The sequence below is a fragment of the Homo sapiens genome, chromosome Y (genome assembly GCF_000001405.40).
Source record: "Homo sapiens chromosome Y, GRCh38.p14 Primary Assembly".
Taxonomy (NCBI): domain Eukaryota; kingdom Metazoa; phylum Chordata; class Mammalia; order Primates; family Hominidae; genus Homo; species Homo sapiens.
In genome coordinates, this window is record NC_000024.10 from 20450765 (window position 1) to 20476813 (window position 26049).

The 26049-nt window shown below is 39.8% G+C and overlaps 1 long non-coding RNA gene across 13 annotated transcripts in view; it reads right to left on the reverse strand.

The window, feature by feature from the left end:
* Positions 1-14681: 14681 nt before the first annotated feature.
* The window catches only part of TTTY10 (testis expressed transcript, Y-linked 10), a 110070-nt gene continuing 98702 nt past the window's right edge, over positions 14682-26049 (reverse strand). For 8 of the 13 annotated variants that reach the window (NR_197939.1, NR_197940.1, NR_197942.1 and 5 more), the window contains 4 exons: positions 19108-19217; positions 17425-17484; positions 15664-15903; positions 14682-15058 (listed from right to left, as the gene is read on the reverse strand). This is a non-coding gene — a long non-coding RNA (testis expressed transcript, Y-linked 10). The remainder of the gene's footprint in view (positions 15059-15663; positions 15904-17424; positions 17485-19107; positions 19218-26049) is intronic. The other 5 variants (NR_197936.1, NR_197938.1, NR_197941.1 and 2 more) reach the window with 1 other exon arrangement.

Sequence of the window (26049 nt, forward strand, 5' to 3'; positions counted from 1 at the left end):
TATAATAAAAACGGAGAGGCCCAGAAAAGAGAGAAAAAACAGGAAAGAATAAGAAGACTTAATGGCTGCCAAGTAATCCCCACAAACTTCAGAATTCCCAGGGTGCACCTGGTAACTGTTAAAGATATGGCAAAAACAGTTATTTATCTTCTAAAGTTTAACTACCTCCATACAAAGTTTAATTTATTTTGTCAGGGTGAAACAACTCAGGTAAAATGTTTCTGTTAGTACGTTTCACTTCTTATCTCTGTAATCTTTGGCAATAAATTATTTCCTTTTACAATACACATGTTTAACCTATGCATACATAACTGTATAAAACGTGTTTCTCTCTGACTTAGCAGCCACAAAATTCCAAATGGTCAGACAATGGGAGCTTCAGATGATGGCTCCACTTACTAGGAACCCTTAGATAGACATCTGGGAGAAATCTGACTGCTGCTTTCCCTGTCAGCAGGAAGTAGCTTAAGACTGGTGGTCATCCAAATTCTAACAGCAATTAGATGTACCTCTTCAGGAAGGGCAAATGATATAGGAGAGAGATACGGTAATGCTGGATAGAAAAAATTGGTCTCTGGTGAGGTCTCTCCATCCTCTGGCCTATGGCAATGGACCTAGGTCAGGACAGGCACTCCTGTTTTTATGCCCAAATATTGCATTTCCCAAGAACACCATGTCCAGCCATGCCCTCCATCCTGTGCCTATAATAACCCTGAGACCCTAGTGGGCACACACACAAGTGGCTGGATGTTTAGAAGAACACACTAGCAGAAGAACACACAGGTGGCTGGACACTGAGAGGAGCAGAGGAATGGAAGAGCACAACAACAGTCACTGGCAGGCCATCAAGATGCAGAAGGACACTAACAATGAAGGAAATTTGGCTGGGGTTGTTGGAGGATAGTTCAGCCACTGAGCAGCCTGACTCCAGGGGAAAACCACCTTTTCACTGTATCCCCCTTCTGGCTTCCTATTTATCTGTAGTAATATGGTTTGGCTGTGTCCCCGCCCAAATCTCAACTTGAATTTTTCTCCCAGAATTCCTATGTATGGTGGGAGGGACCCAGGGGGAGGTAATTGAATCATGGGGTCTTGTCGTCCTGTGTTATTCTCATGATAGTAAATAAATCTCAGAAGATTTGATGGGCTTATCATGGGTTTCTGCTTATGCTTCTTCCTCATTCTCTCTTGCAGCTACCATGTAAGAAGTGCCTTTCACCTCCCACTATGATTCTGATGCCTCCCCAGCCATGTGGAACTGGAAGTTTAATTAAACCTCTGTGTCTCTTTCCAGTCTCAGATATGTTTCCTTATTAGCAGCATGAAAATGGGCTAATACAGTAAATTGGTACCAGTAGAGTGGGGTGTTGCTGAAAAGATACTCAAAAATGTGGAAGCAGCTTTGGAGCTGGGTATCAGGCTGAGGTTGGAACAGTTTGGAGGGCTCAGAAGAAGACAAGAAAATGTGGGAAAGTTTGGAACTTCCTAGAGACTTGTTGAATGGCTTTGACAAAAATGCTAATAGTGATATAAACAATAAAGTCCAGGCTGAGGTAATCTCAGATGAGATGAGAAACTTGGGAACTGGAGCAAAGGTGACTTGCATTATGTTTTAGCAAAGAGACTAGTGGAATTTTCCCCCTGCCCTAGAGACGTGAAATTTTGAACTTCAGAGAGATAATTTAGGGTGTCTGGCTGAAGAAATTTCTAAATGACAAAACATTCAAAAGGTGACTTGGGTGCTGTTAAAAACATTCCATTTTAAAAGGGAAACAGAGAAAAAAATCAGAAAATTTGCAGACTGATGATGCAGTAAGCCCTTGGTGCCCTGTGTCCCAGCTGCACCAGACATTGCTAAATGGGGAAAAGGTACAGCTTGATCCATGGTTTCAGAATGTACAAGCCTCAAACCTAGGTAGTTTCATGTGATGTTGAACCTGCAGGTGCACTGAAGTCAAGAATTGAGGTTTTGGAGCCTAAACCTAGATTTCAGAAGATGTATGAAAACACGTGGATGCCCAGGAAAAAGTTTGCTTCAGAGGCATGTCCCTCATGGAGAACCTCTGCTATGGCAGTGTGAAAGTGAAACGTAGGGTCAAAGCCCACACACAGAGTCTCTACTGGGGCACTGCCTAGTAGAGCTGTGAAAAGAGAGCCACTGCCCTCCATATCCCAGAATGGTAAATCCATTGACAGCTTGCACTGTGCACCTGGAAAAGCCACAGACACTCAGGGCCAGCCCGTGAAAGCAGCCAGGAGGGAGGCTGTACCCTGCAAAGCCACAGGGGTGGAGGTGCCCGAGACTATGGGAACCCATCTCTTGCACCTATGTGACCTGGATGGGAGACCTGGAATCAAAGGTGATTATTTTAAAACTTTAAAATGTCACTGCCCTGCTGGATTTCAGACTTCTGTAGGGCCTGTAACCCATTTGTTTTGGCCAATTTCTCCAATATGGATGACTCTATTTATCCAATACCTGTATCCCCATTGTATCTAGGAAGTAACTAGCTTGCTTAAAATTTCACAGGGTCATAGGCAGAAGGAACTTGACTTCTCTCAGATGAGACTTTGGAGTGTGGACTTTTGGGTTAATACTAAAATGACTTAAGACTTTAGGGGACTGTTGGGAAAACATAATTGTTGTTGAAATGTGAGAACATGAGATATGGAGGGGCCAGGAGTGGAATGATATGGTTTGGCTGTGTCTTAACTCAAATCTCAACTTGAATTGTATCTCCCATAATGCCCACATGATGTAGTAGGCACCCAGGGCGATGTAATTGAATCACTGGGGCCAGTCTTTCTTGTGTTATTCTCATGCTAGTAAATAAGTCTCAGGAGATCTAATAGGTTTATCAGCGGTTTGCGCTTTTACTTTCTCCTCATTTTCTCTTGCCACCACCATGTAAGAAGTACCTTTCTCATCCCATCATGATTCTGAAGACTTCCCAGCCATGTGGAACTGTATATCCAATTAAACCTGTTTTTCTTCCCAGTCTTTGGTATGTCTTTATCAAAAGTATGAAAATGGACTAATAAATGCAGAGAGCTATATTCATCATTTAAGAAAAACTTGGACTCATTATGCAAGCCCATGTGTGATTCAATTTTTCTACTACCTTAGGGGAAGAACTCCAGGACACAGGTCCTCTGTCCTTGCAATAAGGCAGAGGGTCTAATTGACCTGATTTATATGAGTTGCCTACAGGCATAAAACTAAAAAAGCACACTGTAACACATGCCCACTGGAACTTCAGGAGCTGTAAACATTCACCTTAAGATACTACCATGGGTTGGAAGCCCACACTTCACATGACCTGCCCATCTGCTTCTTCCCTTAGGGGTTTTGAGTAGCAGGGCACCAAAGAAGTAAGCCGTATCCCCATCACATGCCCTGTAAGGGGGTCAAGGGAACTTTTTCCATTTCAAAATGAAATAAAATAAGTGGAAAGACCTACCAAAAGAACATGCTGCAACTACACATCAGATAATATATCAAACACTGTGCTTCCTCAACTTGCAGCATGTTAAGATCATTTGCTTTCCTTAGTTCTATGAGAATATAAATTCAATTATGGGCAGTTTTTACCCAGTTCCATTAAGGTAACTTGTACTTTCATGTAAAAACACACATTTGTTTAATTTAGTGGAAAGCTGAATCATTCCTACAGTTGATGTCCAAAATCAACCACAATGCTTGGGGCTTTCTTATCTTCTGGCAAATATTCTCACCCTCTTTCTCAATCTCTCTCTCAGGTGAATAAACATTAGTGGAATAACTTGTCTCTAGGGCATCTATGTACAGAACATCAACACTAACATATACTAGTTCACCTGAGGTTTTAAAAAAGACAAGCAATCAGTACCTCATGAGCCTGTCCACTGCTAACTCCAAGAAAGAGTCCACCTGCAATATTAGCAACTACACTATTGTCTTCAGGGACATCTGCAGATGGGCACTTGAACTGTCATCTAAGAAAGGAAAAACACTGACCACTTCTGTAAGGAAAGTTGAATTACAGTATTCTCCTTTTTTAAGTCTATCTCTCTCTCTTTTTTATTTTTTATTTTGTGAGACAGAGTCTCACTCTGTCACCAGGCTGGATTGCAGCCTCCTGAGTAGCTGGGATTACAGGCACCAACAACCACTCCCAGGTAATATTTGCATTTTTAGTAGAGATGGAGATTCACTGCATTGGCCAGGCTGGTCTCATCTGGTTCCAGACCTCAGATGATCCTCCCTCCTTGGCCTCCTAAACTGCTGGGATTACAGGCATAAACCACCATGTCTGACCTTTAATGGATTAATTCAATGTTCTTGGATAATTGAATGGATGAATTCAAATGTTCTTGGCATTGAAGATAAGGTAGTACCATTCATAATTTAACTACTTGTTTGAAAAACCTTTAGGACACTAAAGATTATCATGTAAAGTAAATTTTTAGAGATTCTCTGTTTTCTCTAGTTACATTCACTTATCTTTAACTCATCTGTATCTCCAATATTAAATATCTGGATCTGTTTTAAGTGTGTCTTTGGAACCACAGTAAGGTTCTCTAGGCCTAAACACACATAAGGTTTTTTTTTTTTTTTCACCCTGTGAAAATGAAGAGTAATGCAGAGAGAAAAAAATTTCTCTCAGCTTGTTTATGTCATTTAGAGATAAACCAAACAATGCTTTTTATTAGAACATGAATTTCAGGCAGTTTACATCAAAATGTAAGGCCAGGCCTCTTTCTAAAATGGGGGGAGGGGGAAGGCTACCATTAGGAGATATACCTAATGTAAATGAAGAGTTAATGGGTGCAGCACACCAACATGATGCCTGTATACATATGTAACAAACCTGCACATGGGCACATGTACCCTAGAACTTAAGGTATAATAAAAACAAAACAAAACAAAAACTGACTGCTTCTTTACAACATGTCCATCCAAAGGGGTTATTTTCATGAGAGTTTTTCTTCTTACATATCCAACTATTTAAAATCATTTAATTTTTTTCTCTAGAAGAGAGAATGCTGCTTTTTATATACATAGTTTCTGTAGATTATTGCAATTACTATTTCAGTGTACTGGAAAAAAGCATCTATTTTTGTTACTATTCTTAATTACTTATTATACTTCTGAGAGCAGAGAGAAGTGCAACATCAATCATAATATTGAACAAAAAAACAATTTGAAGGTTTTAATGCAATATTTCTAGGTCTAAGAAAGGCCAGGTTAATTGTGGGGTAGGTCTATAAAGGAAATCAAGTGGCGATGCCTTTCTGTACAAGGTACTGACCTGAGTATTATCCTCTCTTTTCCATGGTGCCATCACAATTTTATGTTCATATGTAAAATGAAGGTCAAATTTTATAAAAATTTGTACATTCTTAATTACTGCATAAGTACACACTTCAGATTATCCCCATCTCTACAATTTTTGTTTTGTTTTGTTTCTACAAACTATCGAGTAGGAAAACACAAAGTCCTTTCTTTGAGGAATATTAGGCAATATTGAATATATTAGTCTACATCTTTAGCATTTTTTAAAAATTTTCTACCACACCGTAGGTGGCCTCAATTTAGGAGGCTGGAAACCCTTGTCTTTTAAACACAAGATCTAAAAACTGTTGGTTGACATACGTGGTTCTTTGAGGAAAACGGGATGATATTTGGAACATGTAGGAAATGCCTGTACTCATTAATGATGAAGAGCTTGAGACAATAAGCTGGCAAAAAGATTATATCTTAAATTTTTAAAGAATCAGGTTGGTCAACAAAGGTGTAACTAAATTTCCTGTTGGCTGAAGCAGAGTGTAAAACACATGGATTCTACTGAAAATGAAGGTTCTCAATTGTGTGTAAGCATGTCCCAGATGAAAGGACAAAAACACAAAAAGTAGATAGCTAATTTAGAGTCTCAGATCCTTTGTATCTGCAAAATATATATATATATATATGAGAGAGAGAAAAACTCTCAGAAAACCTACAGCAAACTTCTGTGTCACAGCTATGATAATTTGCTTTGTCACATTTCCAAAGCATCCCTTTATACCATAGCCCATCAGAAAATTGTCTTTACCAAACCTTTGTTTTATCTGCCAATGGCCTTTCTAGACTTTCCCTGGCTAAAAAAGACAGGGTGCTATGGCATTGCCAATAGTTTAGGGGCCATGCGGCATTCAGCTTAATGCTGCCCTTGTGCAGATAAAAGAGGGATGGTTCATAATAAAATTATATTTTATATTTCTATTTTCTGACTCAGAAGCTAGTGCCTGTTTTTCTTGGCAAAACCATGCACATTGTGCAAGTAAATAATGCTGCTATTCATAGACAGGTGTAGTTCTATAATCTCACATCAAAAATAGCCCCAAAACAGAGTCTACTAACCTAGGTAGGAGACTTGGCATAGGTAGAATTACAACTAGGATCAGTTGTAACTCTGTTGCAATTATACAACAACTGGGGTCAGTTATAACTGAAATTCTACTACCTATGATAACAATGTGGAAAACAGATACTTTTAAAAAAATTTTTTAACTATACTTTGAGTTCTAGGGTACATGTGCACAAAGTGCAGGTTTGTTATATATGTATACATGTGCCATGTTGGTGTGCTGCACCCATTAACTGGTCATTTACATTAGGTATATCTCCTATGCTTTCCCTCCCCCCTTCTCCCACCCCCCAACGGGCCCCGGTGCGTGATGTTCCCCTGCCTGTGTCCAAGTGTTCGCAATGTTCAATTCCCATCTATGAGTGAGAACATGAGGTGTTTGGTTCTTTGTCCTTGCGATAGTTTGCTGAGAATGATGGTTTCCAGCTTCATCCATGTCCTAAAAAGGGACATGAACTCATCATTTTTCTGGCTGCGTATTAGTTCATGGTGTATATGTGCCACAATTTCTTAATCCAGTCTATCATTGTTGGACATTTGGGTTGGTTCCAAGTCTTTGCTATTGTGAATAGTGCCGCAATAAACATACGTGTGCATGTGTCTTTATAGCAGCATGATTTATAGTCCTTTGGGTATATATTCAGTAATGGGATGGCTGGGTCAAATGGTATTTCTAGTTCTAGATCTCTGAGGAATCGCCACACTGACTTCCACAATGGTTGAACTAGTTTACATTCCTACCAACAGTGTAAAAGTGTTCCTATTTCTCCACATCCTCCCCAGTACCTCTTGTTTCCTGACTTTTTAATGACCGCCATTCTAACTGGTGTGAGATGGTATCTCATTGTGGTTTTGATTTGCATTTCTATGACAGCCAGTGATGATGAGCATTTTTTTATACATCAGTTGGTGGCATAAATGTCTTCTTTTCAGAAGTGTCTGTTCATATCCTTCGTCCACTTTCTGATGGGGTTGTTCATTTTTTTCTTGCAAATTTGTTTGAGTTCTTTGAAGATTCTGGATATTAGCCCTTTGTCACATGTGTAGATTGCAAAAATTTTCTCCCATTCTGTAGGTTGCCTGTTCACTCTGATGGTAGTTTCTTTTGCTGTGCAGAAGATCTTTAGTTTAATTACATCCCATTTGTCAATTTTGGCTTTTGTTGCCATTGCTTTTGGTGTTTTAGACATGAAGTCCTTGCCCATGCCTATGTCCTGAATGGTATTGCCTAGGTTTTCTTCTAGGGTTTTTATGGTTTTAGATCTAACATTTAAGTCTTTAATCCATCTTGAATTAATTTTTGTATAACGTGTAAGGCAGGGATCCAGTTTCTGCTTTCTACATATGGCTAGCCAGTTTTCCCAACACCATTTATTAAACAGGGAATCCTTTCCCCCATTTCATGTTTTTATCAGTTTTGTCAAAGATCAGATGGTTGTAGATGTGTAGTATTATTTCTGAGGGCTCTTTCCTGTTCCATTGGTCTGTATGTCTGTTTTGGTACCAGTACCATGCTGTTTTCGTTTCTGTAGCCTTGCAGAATAGTTTGAAGTCAGGTAGTGTGATGCCTCCAGCTTTGTTCTTTTGGCTTAGGATTGACTTGGCAATGCGGGCTGTTTTTTGGTTCCATACGAATTTTAAAGTAGCTTTTTTCCAATTCTGTGAAGAAAGTCATTGGTAGCTTGATGAGGATCGCACTGAATCTATAAATTACCTTGGGCAGTATGGCCATTTTCACAATATTGATTCTTCCTATCCATGAGCATGGGATGTCCTTCCATTTGTTTTTGTCCTCTTTTACTTCATTGAGGAGTGGTTTGTAGTTATCCTTGAAGAGGTCCTTCAAATCCCTTGTAACTTGGATTGCTGTGTATTTTATTCTCTTTGAAGCAATTGTGAATGGGAGTTCACTCATGATTTGGCTCTCTGTCTGTTACTGATGCAGAAGAATGCTTGTGATTTTTGCACATTGATTTTGTATGCTGAGACTTTGCTGAAGTTGCTTATCAGGTTAAGCAGATTTTGGGCTGAGAGGATGGGGCTTTCTAAATTTACAATCATGCCATCTGTAAACAGGGACAATTTGATTTCCTCTTTTCCTAATTGAGGAAATTTCTTTCTTTCTCCTGCCTGACTGTCCTGGCCAGAATTTCCAACACTATGTTGAATAGGAGTGGTGAGAGAGGGCATCCCTGTCTTGTGCCAGTTTTCAAAGGGAATGCTTCCAGTTTTTGCCCATTCTGTATGATATTGGCTGTGGGTTTGTCATAGATAGCTCTTATTATTTAGAGATACTCCCATCAATACCTAAATTATTGAGAGTTTTTAGCATGAAGGGCTGTTGAATTTAGTCAAAGGCCTTTTCTGCATCTATTGAGATAATCATGTGGTTTTTGTCTTTGGTTGTGTTTATATGCTGGATTAGGTTTATTGATTTGCATATGTTGAACCAGCCTTGCATCCCAGGGATGAAGCCCACTTGATCATGGTGGATAAGCTTTTTGATGTGCTGCTGGATTCGGTTTGCCAGTATTTTATTGAGGATTTTTGCATCGATGTTTATCAGGGATATTGGTCTAAAATTCTCTTTTTTTGTTGTGTCTCTGCCCGGCTTTGGTATCAGGATGATGATGGTCTCATAAAATGAGTTATGGAGGATTCCCTCTCTTTCTATTGATTGAAACAGTTTCAGAATGAATGGTACCAGCTCCTCCTTGTACCTCTAGTAGAATTCGACTGTGAATCCTTCTGGTCCTGGACTTTTTTTGGTTGGTAGGCTATTAATTATTGCCTCAATTTCAGATCCTGTTATTGGTCTATTCAGGGATTCAACTTCTTCCTCATTTAGTCCTGGGAAGGTGGATGCGTCCAGGAATTTATCCACTTCCTCTAGATTTTCTAGTTTATTGGCAAAGAGGTGTTATAGTATTCTCTGATGGTAGTTTGTATTTCTGTGGGATTGGTGGTGATATCCCCTTTATCATTTTTTATTGCAACTATTTGATTCTTCTCTCTATTCTTCCTTATTAGTCTTGCTAGCAGTCTATCAATTTTGCTGTTCTTTTCAAAAAACCAGCTCCTGGATTCATTGATTTTTTCAAGGGTTTTTTTGTGTCTCTATTTCCTTCAGTTCTGCTCTGATCTTAGTTATTTCTTGCCTTCTGCTAGCTTTTGGATGAGTTTGCTCTTGCTTTTCTAGTTCTTTTAATTGTGATGTTGGATGTCAATTTTAGATCTTTCCAACTTTCTCTTGTGGCATTTAGTGCTATAAATTTCCCTCTACACACTGTTTTAAATGTGTCCCAGAAATTCTGGTACATTGTGTCTTTGTTCTCATTGGTTTCAAAGAACATCTTTATTTCTACCTTCATTTCGTTATATATCCAGTAGTCGTTCAGGAGTAGGTTGTTCAGTTTCCATGTAGTTGAGAGGTTTTGAGTGAGTTTCTCAATCCTGCATTCTAGTTTGATTGCACTGGGGTCTGAGAGACAGTTTGTTATAATTTCTGTTATTTTACATTTGTTAAGGAGTGCTTTACTTCCAACTATGTGGTCAGTTTTGGAATAAGTGCTAAGTGGTGCTGAGAAGAATGTATATTCTGTTGATTTGGGGTGGAGAGTTCTGTAGATGTCTATTAGGTCCACTTGGTGCAGAGCTGTGTTCAATTCCTGGATACCTTGTTAACTTTTTGTCTCATTGACCTGTCTAATGTTCACAGTGGGGTGTTAAAGTCTCCCGTTATTATTGTATGGGAGTCTAAGTCCCTTTGTAGATCTCTAAGGACTTCCTTTATAAATCTGGGTGCTCATGTATTGGGTGCATATATATTTAGGATAGTTACCTCTTCTTGTTGAATTGATCCCTTTACCGTTATGTAATGGCCTTGTCTCTTTTGATTTTTGTTGGTTTAAAGTCTGTTTTATAAGAGACTGCGATTGCAACCCCTGCCTTTTTTTGTTTTCCATTTGCTTGGTAGATCTTTCTCCATCCCTTTATTTTGAGCTGATGTGTGTCTCTGCATGTGAGATGGATCTCCTGAATACAGCACACTGATAGGTCTTGATTCTTTACCCAGTTTGCTAGTCTGGGTCTTTTAATAGGAGCATTTAGCCCATTTACCTTTTAGGTTAATTTTGCTTTGTGTGAATTTGATCCTGTCATTATGATGTTAGCTGGTTATTTTGCTTGTTAGTTGATGCAGTTTCTTCCCAGCATCAATGGTCTTTACAATTTGGCGTGTTTTTGCAGTGGCTGGTACTGGTTGTTCCTTTAAATGTTTAGTGCTTCCTTAAGGAGCTCTTGTAGAGCAGGCTTTGCGCTGACAAAATCTCCTAGCATTTGCTTGTCTGTAAAGTATTTTATTTCTCCTTCACTTATGAAGCTTAGTTTGGCTGGATATGATATTCTGGGTTGAAAATTCTTTTCTTTAAGAATGTTGAATATTGGCCCCCACTCTCTTTTGGCTTGTAGAGTTTCTGATGAGAGATCTGCTGTTAGTCTGTTGGGCTTCCCTTGTGGGTAACCCGACCTTTCTCTCCGGCTGCCCTTAATATTTTTTCCTTTATTTCAACTTTTGTGAATCTGACAAGTATGTGGCTTGCAGTTGCTCTTCTTGAGTAGTATCTTAGTGGTGTTCTGCATATCTCCTGAAGATAAATGTTGGCCTGCCTTGCTAGGTTGGGGAAGTTCTCCTGGGTAATATCCTGATGGGTGTTTTCCAACTTGATTCCATTTTCCCCGTCACTTTCAGGTACACCAATCAGATGTAGATTTGGTCTTTTCACATAGTCCCATATTTCTTGGAGCCTTTTTTCATTTCTTTTTACTCTTTTTTCTCTAAACTTCTCATTTCATTTAATTCATTGATCTTTAATCACTGATACCCTTTCTTCCAGTTGATTATCTCCTGAAGCTTGTGTATTCATCACGTAGCTCTTATGCCATGGTTTTCAGCTCTGTCATGTCATTGAAGCACTTCTCTACACTGATTATTCTAGTTAGCCATTCGTCTAATTTTTTTTCAAGGTTTTTAGCTTCTTTGTGTTGGGTTCAAACTTCCTTCTTTAGCTTGGAGAAGTTTGATCATCTGAAGTCTTCTTCTCTCAACTCGTCAAAATCATTCTCCATTCAGCTTTGTTCCATTTCTGGTGAGGAGCTGCATTCCTTTGGAGGAGGAGAGGTGCTCTGATTTTTAGAATTTTCAGCTTTTCTGCTCTGTTTTTTCCCCAACTTTGTGGTTTGATCTACCTTTGGTCTTTGATGATGGTGATGTACAGATGGGGTTTTGGTGTGGATATCCTTTGTGTTTGTTAGTTTTCCTTCTAACAGTCAGGACCCTCAGCTGCAGATCTGTTGGAGTTTCCTGAAGGTCCACTCCAGACCAGGTTTGCCTGGTTATCAGCAGCGGAGGTTGCAGAACAGCGGATATTGGTGAACAGCAAATGTTGCTGCCTGATCGTTCCTCTGGAAGCTTCATCTCAGAGGGGTACCCGGCCATGTGAGGTGTCAGTCTGCACCTACTGGGGGGTGCCTCCCAGTTAGGTTACTTGGGGGTCTGTGAGCCACTTGAGGAGGAATTTCTGCCCATTCTCAGATCTCAAACTCCGTGCTGGGAGAACCGCTACTCCCTTCAAAGCTGTGAGACAGGGACATTTAAGTCTGCAGAGGTTTCTGCTGCCATTTGTTCAGCTATGCCCTGTCCCCAGAGGTGGTCTACAGAGGCAGGCTGGCCTCCTTGAGCTGCAGTGGGCTCCACCCAGTTTGAGTTTCCCATGTCCTTTGTTTACCTACTCAATCCTCAGCTATGGTGGGTGCCCCTTGCCCAGTCTCACTGATGCTTTGCAGTTCCATCTCAGACTGCTGTGCTAGCAATGAGTGAGGCTCTGTGGGCATGGGACCCTCTGATTCAGGTGCGTGATATAATCTCCTGGTATGTCATTTGCTAAGACCATTGGAAAAGTGCAGTATTATGGGGGGGGGGTGACCCAATTATCCAGGTGCTGTCTGTTACCCTTTCCCTTGACTGGGAAAGGGAATTCCCTGACCCCTTGCACTTCTCGGTGAGGTGATGCCTCGCCCTGCTTCAGCTCACACTCAGTGGGCTGCACCCACTGTCCTGTCCCCAGTGTCCAATGAGCCCCAGTGAGATGAACCTGGTACCTCAGTTGGAAATGCAGAAATCACCCATCTTCTGCATCGCTCATGCTGGGAACTGTAGACTGGAGCTGTTCCTATTTGGCCATCTTGGAACTGCTAAAACAGATACATGCTTGCGCAAAATAGCATCACTTGAATTTCTTAGCAGTGGCACTAATGTTAATCTATTCTACAGCCATAAAATATTCACGCTGTAGAAGTTGTTTCAGGATGGAAAACCCTTGGCTTTATTAAATATTGAAATATATCTTCATGGCCAGCAGCCATGTGTGAAGCAGCTGCAACCATCCCAAATATCCAGATCCTGGGCTTGTATTCTCTGCACCACCTCATCTTCACCCCCTTCTGTTGCATCTTGAGCTGGATTCATCTTCTCTTCTATGTTCCAAAATGGTTGTTTTACTCTGCAGACGGGAACTTTGCATTCTTGCTCCTAATCCAGCATAGTATAGCCATCATTTATCCTGTGGACTGTCTGCTGTTTGAATAGAACTGTAGGTGAGATGAAAATTTGAGAAACCAGACTGGTTTGCATGTCATGGAGGACACCTGCACTGCCTTGTGCATCTGTACAGTGTACTCAGATATTCAAATCCATTCCTCTGAGTTATTTGATACATTAAAATTGTCTCTTCTTTTTTGACAAGAGTCTGTTTTGTGGCTTTACTTTTGGTGTCTTATCCAGGATGGACTGTGACCTGTCTTAGTTTCTCCAAGTTTTTGCAGATGGGCTCATTTTTGCCTGCAAGTGCTATGGTAGAGAGTCTGCTTTTTTGGCCTGGCCAAGTTTTTATACTGGGAGGTCTTATTTCTTAAATTTGCAGAGTGTTCCAATCTGCCATGTCAACAAAGTTTTGAGACATATAATTCTTATGTTTGCAGGCATTGATTAAGCCTTTTCCATAGGCTCTGCTCTTGCTGGTAGAAAAGGTCCTGGTTGAAGTTGAGAACTGTGTACTTGCCTGTTGGTTGGATCTTCTTCTTCTATGCTTGATTGTTGTTCTAGCTTTTTTTATACTTGCGGCTTTCAGGATGGAATTGTGATTTTTCATGATTTGCCAGTAGACCATACTTCTGGAAATAACAGTTGTGGCCATGGACTATAAATTCTTCCATGGGCAAAGTGACAACAAGTTGCTTGCCAAACTGTCTGGGTGACTCCAATGGTTTAGCAGGGCTAATGGTCCTCTACGGTGCCCCATGGTTACTGCAGCCAAGTGTCCAGTATAAGGACACCTTGTGGGATAAGGACACCTTGTGGGATAAGTGGCTGCTATGACATTAGAGTTTTGTGACATCACTAAAGCAATGAGCAGTACTGCCTCTGGCATTAACCATTTTTTGAACTTTAGAAACATCCAATAAGCACCAGGACATAGATGGGAAATCTGATTCTGAGGTAATCCTGTTGGCTTTATGGGTTTCTCTTCTACTAACATTGTTTGAAAAAAATTGTTTTCCATCCCAAGTGCTTTGATGGGGTTAATTTTTTTGTCTTGAAGCAGGAAGATGCTACAGGACAATTAGTGATTATAGGACAAAAATAATTCTCTTAGAAAACCCCCAAAATATGTCTGGCTTTTCAAATCAGACATAAGAGATATAATTTTCTGCTTTTCTTCTCTCGTTTATTGCCTAATAAGTGACTTTAAAATGGGTAACTATCTTACAGTTCTGAAGTCTAGAGGAGCAGAAACATAATGTTGACTAGTTTTTGTTTTTGTGTCTATGTGAGTTGTCTCTCAAGCTGGATGTGGCAGTGTACTTACCATGCCATTAAATGGTCAATCCTTTCTTGTTTGAGTCTTATTCTTCCATGCTCTTACATGTGCCAATGATATAGGGTTAAGAGCCATCCATATACAAATATTTTACAGTAATTCCCCTAGTAAAAGTATTATATGCATACAAAGTCAAACTCAGACATTTTAAGCACAATGAGAAAACAAACAGAAACAAAACAATCCAAAAACACATGATTTTCTATCTTCTCTGGTACTTGGTAATTTTAGATCTATGTCTTTTTTTTTTTTAAACAGGAAATTTCTGAAACAACCTAATTGTCTGTGGTAAATACCAAGGATCTTAGTCTCACAGCCAAGTGGATCAAGGCTGTGGATACACACACCCATAGAATGAGTTTAGAGCAGGAGTTTAATAGACAAAAAGAACAGCTCTTCAGCATAGAGAGGAGCCCTGAGTAGGTTGCCAAGCTGTGCTAAAATCTCAGGGTTTTTGTAAATGGGCTAATGAGGAGGGCACTAGTGAGGAGAGGATGTCTTATCCTCATAAAACCTGATGATTTAGTTGGAACCAGGTATGCTTTCTGTATAGAGCAGAGTCTTTATCAACTCTCACCTTATTCCCTGATCAGGTAGGCAGACTTTCAGTCTCTGTTGCTCTGTGCTGCTTTGTGTTGCTTATCTGGGAGAGAGAGTTTGTGTGTCTATTCCCAGACATCTTAACAGCTGCAGGTATCTCTCACACTTCCACTTCTAGATTCGCTATTGTGTCTATAAGGAAAGGAATGTACTTATTAACACCCACTGTTTTTACTGGGACCCATTTGTAGGAGTGTGAAGTTTGGTGATTACCCAAGTGATCTCTCTCATTCTGTGCTCAAGGTGTTTATCTGTGATTTACAGTAGACTTATTCTTTGTTGAGTTGCCCGCATTTCTAGATTAATATTGGCTTCCACTAAGGAAAGACAAAGAGTTTGTCCTGGGGCCATGAGGATGCAGGCCTCCATGTAGGTAGGGTAAAATATTTCTACCTAATAAAGGAGTGGGACTTTCAGGCATAATAAAGGAGTCCTGTGTAAATAATATGTCCCCCCAACTACAAATAAGTAGTGGAGAAAAATATCAAGTTAGAGTCTTTTTTAAGACACCCACCATTGTTGTGACATGGGAAGAGGAGAGGCATGGATTGGTGAGGAGAACAGAAAGACTGGCTCCAGAATCCAGTGGGAGGCTTGCCCTCCTCCCTTCAATTTCCATTATCACCCAGGACTCCTGAGCAGTAATGGATGTTTGAACCATTGGAACCAGGGGTTTCAGCCCCAGAACCCATCAGTCCTGCTGGAGCATCTGTGAGAATGATTCCGTACTCACTGACCTCTGTCTTGGTGGTCAGTAGTGCAATCTCCAGTGGTCTTCACCACAAAAGTGGTCAAGGTGGCTTTTTCTTGTGGCTTGGGCAATTCTTCTTAAAGTGCCCTGGCTTTAACACTGGTAACAGGTAGCAATCAGTGGAAGTTCCTGGGGGATCCTGGACTCTGCAAGTCTGCAAAGCAGCCACTAGAGCCTCAGCCTTTCTCTTGTTCTTCCTGTTTTTCTCGTGGGCCTCCTCCCAGTCCTATTGTAAGAGAACAATGAGGCCACATTCAGGAGGTTCTTCAAGATACAATCTGGTCCTATAGCCTGTTTCTGTAGCTTTTTTCTAATATCAGGAACTGCCTGCTTTTCGGCTGCAGTAAGGGTTTGGCATAGGAGCAGCATAACATCCCTCCACTTGAGATTGAACACTAAGTTAAATTTTGAAAGGTCTCCAAATTCCTAGCCAGGTCATCAGAAGATCAGCCCAAGTCTCCCTCTATTTTCCTAAGGTCCTATAATGAAAGGAGAACATGTGTTTTAGTGGTGACCCTTCCATCTGGCATTTCTTATAGGGGTAGGAGTGAAGCAGGGGAAATGGTGAGCTTTGGACCTGGTGGAGGTGGGGGAGATTTTGGTGCAGTTGGAGGGGACCCTGGATAAGAGACACTGAAATAACTCGGGCACACATAGAATGCAAAGGTCTGCACTTGCAAAGGTCTGGGTTTTCTCCACAGGGCAAAGAAAGCCTGTTCATATCAAACTTTGGATCATTTGCTGTCCCATCTACACAAAAGATCTAATTGTTGGATAAAATTAGAATCAAGGCTCCTTTCAGCTGGCCAGGTCTCTTTATTCCTGAGACAGTAAGAAGGCCACACCATTGTGCAAAAGAAAATGAGCTGTTTTTGTTCAAAGTTCCAGGGTCAAAGGAGTCTCAATGTTTCAGAATGCACTCTAGAGAAGTGCAAGCTGAAGATGGCTTGTCATCCATCAAAAAAAGAGACAAAAGAAGAGGCATCCTTGTGTCTCTTGGTTCTTTTTAATGTGACCCAGATTGAAGGAGATGACCATTGGGGGACTCCCCCTGACCTCCCTCCTTGGTATCTGGGTCCCAACACCATAATTCCCATCTCATGATTGCAGGTGTAACCCTCAAACATGGTACAGAGAGGTGAAGTCAGCTGGACTTCCTGGGTCAGTGAGTGGGGACTTGGGGAACTTTTCTATCTAGCTAGAGGATTGTAAATGCACCAATCAGCACTCTGTGTCTAGCTAAAGGATTGCAAATGCACCAATCAGCACTCTGTAAAATGGACCAACCAGCACTCTGTAAATGGACCAATCAACTCTCTGTAAAATGGGACAATCAGCAGGATATGCACGGTGCCAAATAAGGGAATAAAAGCTGGCCACTTGAGTCAGCAGCGGCAAACACTGGGATCCCCTTCCAGGCTGTGGAAACTTTGATCTTTCACTCTTCACAATAAATCTTGCTGCTGCTCAGTCTTTGGGTCTGCACTACCTTTATGAGCTGTAACTCTCACCATGAGCATCTGTGTCTTCAATCTTGAAGTCAGCAAGACAAAGAACCCACTGGGAGGAACAAATAACTCTGAAAGCTCCACCTTTAAGAGCTGTAACACTCACTGTGAAGGTCTGTGTCTTCACTACTGAAGTCACCATAACCATGAACCCACTGGAAGGAAGAAACTCTGGACACATCTGAACATCTGAAGGAGGAAACTCCGGACATACCATCTTTAAGAACTGTAACACTCACCATAAGTGTCTGCAGCTTCATTCTTGAAGTCAGCCAGGAACCCACCGGAAGGAACCAATTCTAGACACAGAACCACAGGACCTAATCAATGGGGCTAGTAACTTTTACCCATGTGACATCAGTCCTTTTTCTAATAATAGGGTAATTATCCTCTGACCTCCTAGACCTGTGTGACTTGTGTGGCTCCTTGATAGATGAGCCTTGGCAGAGATTATGTAATAGTTGCATTTAAGCAAGACCCCTTAAAAGAGGGAGTGTACTGAACTGAGAATGTTTAGGTTCTAGTTAACTTCCAGATAAAAAAAATCCCCTTTCTATTTAGATGCCATTCTTGTTGTAGGCAGTATAGGTGTCTCAAGAGGACATAAGTGTCAAATGATGGTCTTCCTGCTAATGCAGAGAGTATTAAGACTAAAATTTCGTTTTGGAAGATATGTTACTCTTTACTGCTAAAAAGAGGACTAAAAGGCTTTTGGCAAAGGGCAGACAAGATTCCCCATGGAGAGGATTCCCATTCCACGATGTGGCACTGTAAGCACTGAAATACCAGGCAGTAACTGTCTCCATATGCTCTCTAAACAAAGGATGGAGAGGGAAGTTTAACTTGTAGCTACCTGTCCCCACAGCACACCTCCTAGAAGAAAAAAGGCAATTCACCTCATAGAGGGACTATCCAGTCTGACTAGTCAGTGCTGGCTTCTCACATGGAAAGCAACAACAACAACAACAAAAAGAGGCTAGGTAGAGAAAGGGGTGTTCAGTGATGGTTGTTTGGGAAGGAGGAGTAACCTCCTACCCAACCCCAGGAAGTGTTATTATTAGCAGTTAAACAGTCTTTGAGATTTGGTATAAATCCTCCTGACTGCAGAAAGTCACAAAAAATTGCAATCCCTTTACCTGCATTCCTGGTTACTAAGCCTGCTTAATTGAGTTATTTCACTGCTCTGTAAAAGATCCTGTGGCATTGCATCCAGAGAAGGGATGGGAGACACGATGATCTCAAAAAGTAAAGGAGGAAAATAACATTTGCAATAGGAAATCTTTGAGATACTGTGGCTGACACCCGGTTGGGTAGTTGGGAGGCTGGGGTCAGTCCAGAAACCTTTGAATAACACTGGGGTGTAGCCATGGCCAGAAATTCTCAGTTAATCCAAGACCTATTCAAGCTCCATGCAACAGCCAAGCTCTCCACGAAAATAAACTGGTTTTGACAAAGACTACATTCCCAGCACCCTGAGGGCACTAAGGGATTGACTAGGTCCTTCCCAGTAAGCCTCACATCTGAGTCTTCAAGACTAGCCCTTGTGGTTAGTCAGCCATCAGATGCTTGATGGTTTTTGATAGTTCTTTTAGTTAATAAAAACTGAGTGCATGCTAGCTGCGGTGGCTCATGCCTGTAATCCAATCACTTTGGGATCTCTAGAGATTGGGAGTTTGTGACCAAGCTGGCCAACATGGTGAGACCCCGTTTCTACTAAAAATACAAAAATGAGTCGGGCATGGAGGCTGAGGCAGAAGAATTGCTGGAACCCAGGAGGCAGAGGTTGTTGCAGTGAACGGAGATCATGCCACGGCAGTCAGCCTGAGTGGCAAAGTGAGACTCCGTATAAAAAAACAAAAAAAACAAAAAACTGAGGACAAGAAGCCAGAAAAATTAAAGTAGATGTTCACTCCTGTACTCACCTTTCAGGGAATACACCTTTAAATCCTGGGTGGGCCCATGAAATGAAGCAACCTTACACTTTATACTTGAAGTATATACTTTATACTTAAAGGGTTAAGTATAAAATGAACTGTAGAAAGGAGAAAAGGTGAGTTAAAAGGCAATATAATTAATGTATCTCTTAGAAAAATAAAATGCTTGCTAATTTAGTTGGGACTACATGTGCTTTCTTTACAGAGCAGAGGTTTTTGTGTTTTTTGTTTGTTTGTTTTCTTTTTTATCAGATCTCACACCATTCCCTGAACACATAAGCAGACTATTAATCTGTTGCTCTGTGTTGCTTATCTGGGAGGGAGCATTTCTGTGACTGTTCCCAGACATCTTCTTGCAGCTGCAGACATTCCTTCCCCTTTCTGCTTCTAGCTTCTACATTGTAGTGTGCCTAAAGGGAAAGGGATGTACATATTAAAGGCCACTGTTTTTACTGGAGCCGATTATATGGTGTGAAGTTCGGTGATTACCCAGCAGACACTCCCTCCTTCTGTGCTCAAGCTGTTTATCCATGATTTACAGCCTGAATTTCCATGCTGCCCTTTCTTAGGAAAGAAGTGATTTCTTTCAATGGTGTAAGTTAGAAAAGGAGCTATTTCTGAAGTTTTTTTGTTAGAAAAGTTTTCTTCTGGCTACTCTCTTTACCCTGTGTACCAAAATAATTTCTTTCTACTTCCTATAACATTGCCACAGCCAAAACTTCAGTTCATTCAGAAAACTAGCTATTTATAAAGATAGTCTGATTGTCATAAAATCTATTTATAATAAAATATTCTGGTTAGTCAGAAAATTGCTCACAATAATATTAAACAAACACAAATTATTATTAAATAAACAACAAATAATAATAATATTCACCTCAATGGAAATTTATCATGAAGTTGGAAAAGACAGACATCAATTCTTCTAATAGCCAATCGTGAGAAATTACTTGCATAATTATTCTTCAGATAAACAACCTCTGGCTTCCATGACAAAATTCCTTCACATAAATATTTCTCACACAGGGTTTAGGTTCCATTATTCTTCTATTTAGGGGGCTATCTGTGTTAGCTTACAGCATTTAGCAACAAAGAAAATGAGTTGTCACATTGTCAGAGCAGCATTATTTTGAAGTGTGGCATATACCCAATAAAAGCCCTAAAAGACTATCAGGGAGCTGGAGAAGAGCAGTTCTGTGATCTACCTCATCTGATTCATTGATATGTCATTAAGAAATTGTCTTCCTTACTTTGATGATCTATTCTATTACTATTAACGGGATGTCTCTCAGGGACAGGAGAGAGAAAAACTTTATTTTACAATTGAGAAACGGCTCCTGTGGGTTTACAAATATTCCTCATACGGTGTTTTCTTAATGTCATAGATTCTTAAGAACTATTATTTGAAGAAGAGCAGAAATACTGATTAGTCATAAGTTTGCTTTTCACTTATGTGTTTCATTTTCTGATTTTTGTCTGAGTGTGTTAATTTGAAGAACTAGTGTTTGTGCAATGAAATCTTTTCCTCAGATTGGTCTATTTTGCTGTTATAATTTCTGATTGTATTTAAAAAATGCTTGTAGTAATTATTTTTATCTCAAGAAGCTCAGCTTGGATCTTTCTTAAAATAGGATTTTAATCTCCCTGTGAGAATGAATTGTTCCACTATATGAATTAACTGTCTTGAATTATTTCAACTTTCTGCTCAATCTCAACTAATTTATTGCTATTCTGATTGTGAATTCTATCTCTGTAATTTCAGAAAGTACAGACTGATTGAGAGTCATTACTAGACAGCTGGTGTGCTCCTTTTGAAGTAAAGGGACCCTCCTAACTTACTGAAAATCCTGAGTACTTGTGCTGGCTCTTCTTAGCAAATGCAAATCAAAACCACAAACAGATAACACTTCGTATCAATAAGAATAGACATTATTTAAAAATATGAAAATTATGGAAGCTAGCAAGACTTCAGAAAAAAAGAAATACTTAGACCCAGTTGATGCAATGTAAATTCCTACAGTCAAAGTGGAAAGTAGTCTGGAAATATCTCAAAGAAGTCAAAACAGAGGGATCATTAAACCTACCAATCCCATTCCTTAGTAAATAATAATAATAATAATAATAATAATAATAATAATAATAAATAAATGGTGATACAAGAAAAAAATTTGTTTTCCTTCTTGGCTTTTAAATAACAAACACTTGAAATCAAATTAGTTGTTTTTAAAAGCTAGATTAATGAAGAAAATATGGATGAACATATGGTAAATATGGTCTATGTAGACCATAAAATACTATACAACCATTTACAGTAAAATTGGGTCCTTTGGAGCAACATGGATGGAGATGTTGCAAGATCACTTGGGCCACTGCGATGACTGCCTCTATCTGATATGAGAGTCACTAGATGCCAAGAGTGGGACTAAGCACTACCCCAAATTATTCCAAGTTTTCCCCTATGAATGCAACAGACTAGATAACATTTCCAAGTACCAAAATGAATTATGGGAGAAGTGGAATATTAATGAAAGATTGAAGAATCCAGAACATAAATTCTTAGCCATTAATGTACATTATAGCCCAATCATGGATATAATGTACATTAATGTACAAAATATAATGTACAAAATATAATCAGAGCCCAGATAGCCTCTGGGGCTGTCTATAGTTGAGTCAACAATAACTTTGTTAACAAGAAGAAAGCCCTATGTAGTGCCTGCCCAAGGGGACTGAGTAGTCTATGAGCAATCTTTTTGGAAGTTAACAGTTGGCCCTGGAAAAAGGCACAAGATTTAGATCCTGCCAACTTTTATAGGAGTAACTGAATTGATGTAACAATGTTTTCCATTTAATTAACAGAGACAGGATAACTTAACTATTTTCCCAGAAGAAGACGTTAAGGGTATCGTTTGTTCAACTGTAGGCATTTATTTCACATAAACGTCTCCTCCATAAGAATGTGGAAGTCTTATCACATTTAATCCCATTGCATTTAGCAGATTCTGATTTCAACTTCTAAATTTAATCTAAGGAAACACTTTCAAATGGGCCTTTTTTTTTTTTTTCTAAATCCAAGGGTGAGTACATTTTATTTATTTATTTATTTATTTATTTATTTATTTATTTATTTATTTTTATTATACTCTAAGTTTTAGGGTACTTGTGCACATTGTGCAGGTTAGTTACATATGTATACATGTGCCATGCTGGTGCGCTGCACCCACTAACGTGTCATCTAGCATTAGGTATATCTCCCAATGCTATCCCTCCCCCCTCCCCCGACCCCACCACAGTCCCCAGAGTGTGATATTCCCCTTCCTGTGTCCATGTGATCTCATTGTTCAATTCCCACCTATGAGTGAGAATATGCGGTGTTTGGTTTTTAGTTCTTGCGATAGTTTACTGAGAATGATGGTTTCCAATTTCATCCATGTCCCTACAAAGGACATGAACTCATCATTTTTTATGGCTGCATAGTATTCCATGGTGTATATGTGCCACATTTTCTTAATCCAGTCTATCATTGTTGGACATTTGGGTTGGTTCCAAGTCTTTGCTATTGTGAATAGTGCCGCAATAAACATACGTGTGCATGTGTCTTTATAGCAGCATGATTTATAGTCCTTTGGGTATATACCCAGTAATGGGATGGCTGGGTCAAATGGTATTTCTAGTTCTAGATCCCTGAGGAATCGCCACACTGACTTCCACAATGGCTGAACTAGTTTACAGTCCCACCAACAGTGTAAAAGTGTTCCTATTTCTCCACATCCTCTCCAGCACCTGTTGTTTCCTGACTTTTTAATGATTGCCATTCTAACTGGTGTGAGATGATATATCATAGTGGTTTTGATTTGCATTTCTCTGATGGCCAGTGATGATGAGCATTTCTTCATGTGTTTTTTGGCTGCATAAATGTCTTCTTTTGAGAAGTGTCTGTTCATGTCCTTCGCCCACTTTTTGATGGGGTTGTTTGTTTTTTTCTTGTAAATTTGTTTGAGTTCATTGTAGATTCTGGATATTAGCCCTTTGTCAGATGAGTAGGTTGCGAAAATTTTCTCCCATGTTGTAGGTTGCCTGTTCACTCTGATGGTAGTTTCTTTTGCTGTGCAGAAGCTCTTGAGTTTAATTAGATCCCATTTGTCAATTTTGGCTTTTGTTGCCATTGCTTTTGGTGTTTTGGACATGAAGTCCTTGCCCACGCCTATGTCCTGAATGGTAATGCCTAGGTTTTCTTCTAGGGTTTTTATGGTTTTAGGTCTAACGTTTAAATCTTTAATCCATCTTGAATTGATTTTTGTATAAGGTGTAAGGAAGGGATCCAGTTTCAGCTTTCTACATATGGCTAGCCAGTTTTCCCAACACCATTTATTAAATAGGGAATCCTTTCCCCATTGCTTGTTTTTCTCAGGTTTGTCAAAGATCAGATAGTTGTAGATATGCGGCATTATTTCTGAGGGCTCTGTTCTGTTCCATTGATCTATATCTCTGTTTTGGTACCAGTACCATGCTGTTTTGGTTACTGTAGCCTTGTAGTATAGTTTGAAGTCAGGTAGTGTGATGCCTCCAGCTTTGTTCTTTTGGCTTAGGATTGACTTGGCGATGCGGGCTCTTTTTTGGTTCCATATGAACTTTTAAGTAGTTTTTTCCAATTCTGTGAAGAAAGTCATTGGTAGCTTGATGGGGATGGCATTGAATCTGTAAATTACCTTGGGCAGTATGGCCATTTTCACGATATTGATTCTTCCTACCCATGAGCATGGAATGTTCTTCCATTTGTTTGTGTCCTCTTTTATTTCCTTGAGCAGTGGTTTGTAGTTCTCCTTGAAGAGGTCCTTCACATCCCTTGTAAGTTGGATTCCTAGGTATTTTATTCTCTTTGAAGCAATTGTGAATGGGAGTTCACTCATGATTTGGCTCTCTGTTTGTCTGTTGTTGGTGTATAAGAATGCTTGTGATTTTTGTACATTGATTTTGCATCCTGAGACTTTGCTGAAGTTGCTTATCAGCTTAAGGAGATTTTGGGCTGAGACGATGGGGTTTTCTAGATAAACAATCATGTCGTCTGCAAACAGGGACAATTTGACTTCCTCTTTTCCTAATTGAATACCCTTTATTTCCTTCTCCTGCCTGATTGCCCTGGCCAGAACTTCCAACACTATGTTGAATAGGAGCGGTGAGAGAGGGCATCCCTGTCTTGTGCCAGTTTTCAAAGGGAATGCTTCCAGTTTTTGCCCATTCAGTATGATATTGGCTGTGGGTTTGTCATAGATAGCTCTTATTATTCGGAAATACGTCCCATCAATACCTAATTTATTGAGAGTTTTTAGCATGAAGGGTTGTTGACTTTTGTCAAAGGCTTTTTCTGCATCTATTGAGATAATCATGTGGTTTTTGTCTTTGGCTCTGTTTATATGCTGGATTACATTTATTGATTTGCGTATATTGAACCAGCCTTGCATCCCAGGGATGAAGCCCACTTGATCATGGTGGATAAGCTTTTTGATGTGCTGCTGGATTCAGTTTGCCAGTATTTTATTGAGGATTTTTGCATCAATGTTCATCAAGGATATTGGTCTAAAATTCTCTTTTTTGGTTGTGTCTCTGCCCGGCTTTGGTATCAGAATGATGCTGGCCTCATAAAATGAGTTAGGGAGGATTCCCTCTTTTTCTATTGATTGGAATAGTTTCAGAAGGAATGGTACCAGTTCCTCCTTTTACCTCTGGTAGAATTCGGCTGTGAATCCATCTGGTCCTGGACTCTTTTTGGTTGGTAAACTATTGATTATTGCCCCAATTTCAGAGCCTGTTATTGGTCTATTCAGAGATTCAACTTCTTCCTGGTTTAGTCTTGGGAGAGTGTATGTGTCGAGGAATGTATCCATTTCTTCTAGATTTTCTAGTTTATTTGCATAGGGGTTTTTATAGTATTCTCTGACCACATACTGGGAAGTAAAGCGCTCCTCAGCAAATGCAAAAGAACAGAAATTATTACAAACTATCTCTCAGACCGCAGTGCAATCAAACTAGAACTCAGGATTAAGAATCTCACTCAAAGCCGCTCAACTACATGGAAACTGAACAACCTGCTCCTGAATGACTACTGGGTACATAATGAAATGAAGGCAGAAATAAAGATGTTCTTTGAAACCAACGAGAACAAAGACACCACATACCAGAATCTCTGGGACGCATTCAAAGCAGTGTGTAGAGGGAAATTTATAGCACTAAACGCCTACAAGAGAAAGCAGGAAAGATCCAAAATTGACACCCTAACATCACAATTAAAAGAACTAGAAAAGCAAGAGCAAACACATTCAAAAGCTGGCAGAAGCCAAGAAATAACTAAAATCAGAGCAGAACTGAAGGAAATAGAGACACAAAAAACCCTTCAAGAAATCAATGAATCCAGGAGCTGGTTTTTTGAAAGGATCAACAAAATTGATAGACTGCTAGCAAGACTAATAAAGAAAAAAAGAGAGAAGAATCAAATAGACACAATAAAAAATGATAAAGGGGATATCACCACCGATCCCACAGAAATACAAACTACCATCAGAGAATACTACAAACACCTCTACGCAAATAAACTAGAAAATCTAGAAGAAATGGATACATTCCTCAAATGGGCCTTAAGCACAATTGAAATACAGGCCTGGAGAAGCAAACAGGTGAGTGGTTAGCATGTCCAACTTTTGACTCTTCTGAGCTGGGCACCTGAGTATGTGATTGTTGGCCTTTTCTTTTCTGAAGCTTCCAAGAACATAGTTACATAAACCTGTAGTAAGGGCCTCACAAAGAGGAGTCAAAAGACTGTGTTTTAATTGTTAAAGGGTTAAGTATAAAATGAACTGTAGGAAGGAGAAAAGGTGAGTTAAAAGGCAATATAATTAATGTATCTCTTAGAAAAATAAAAGCACTTGGTAACAA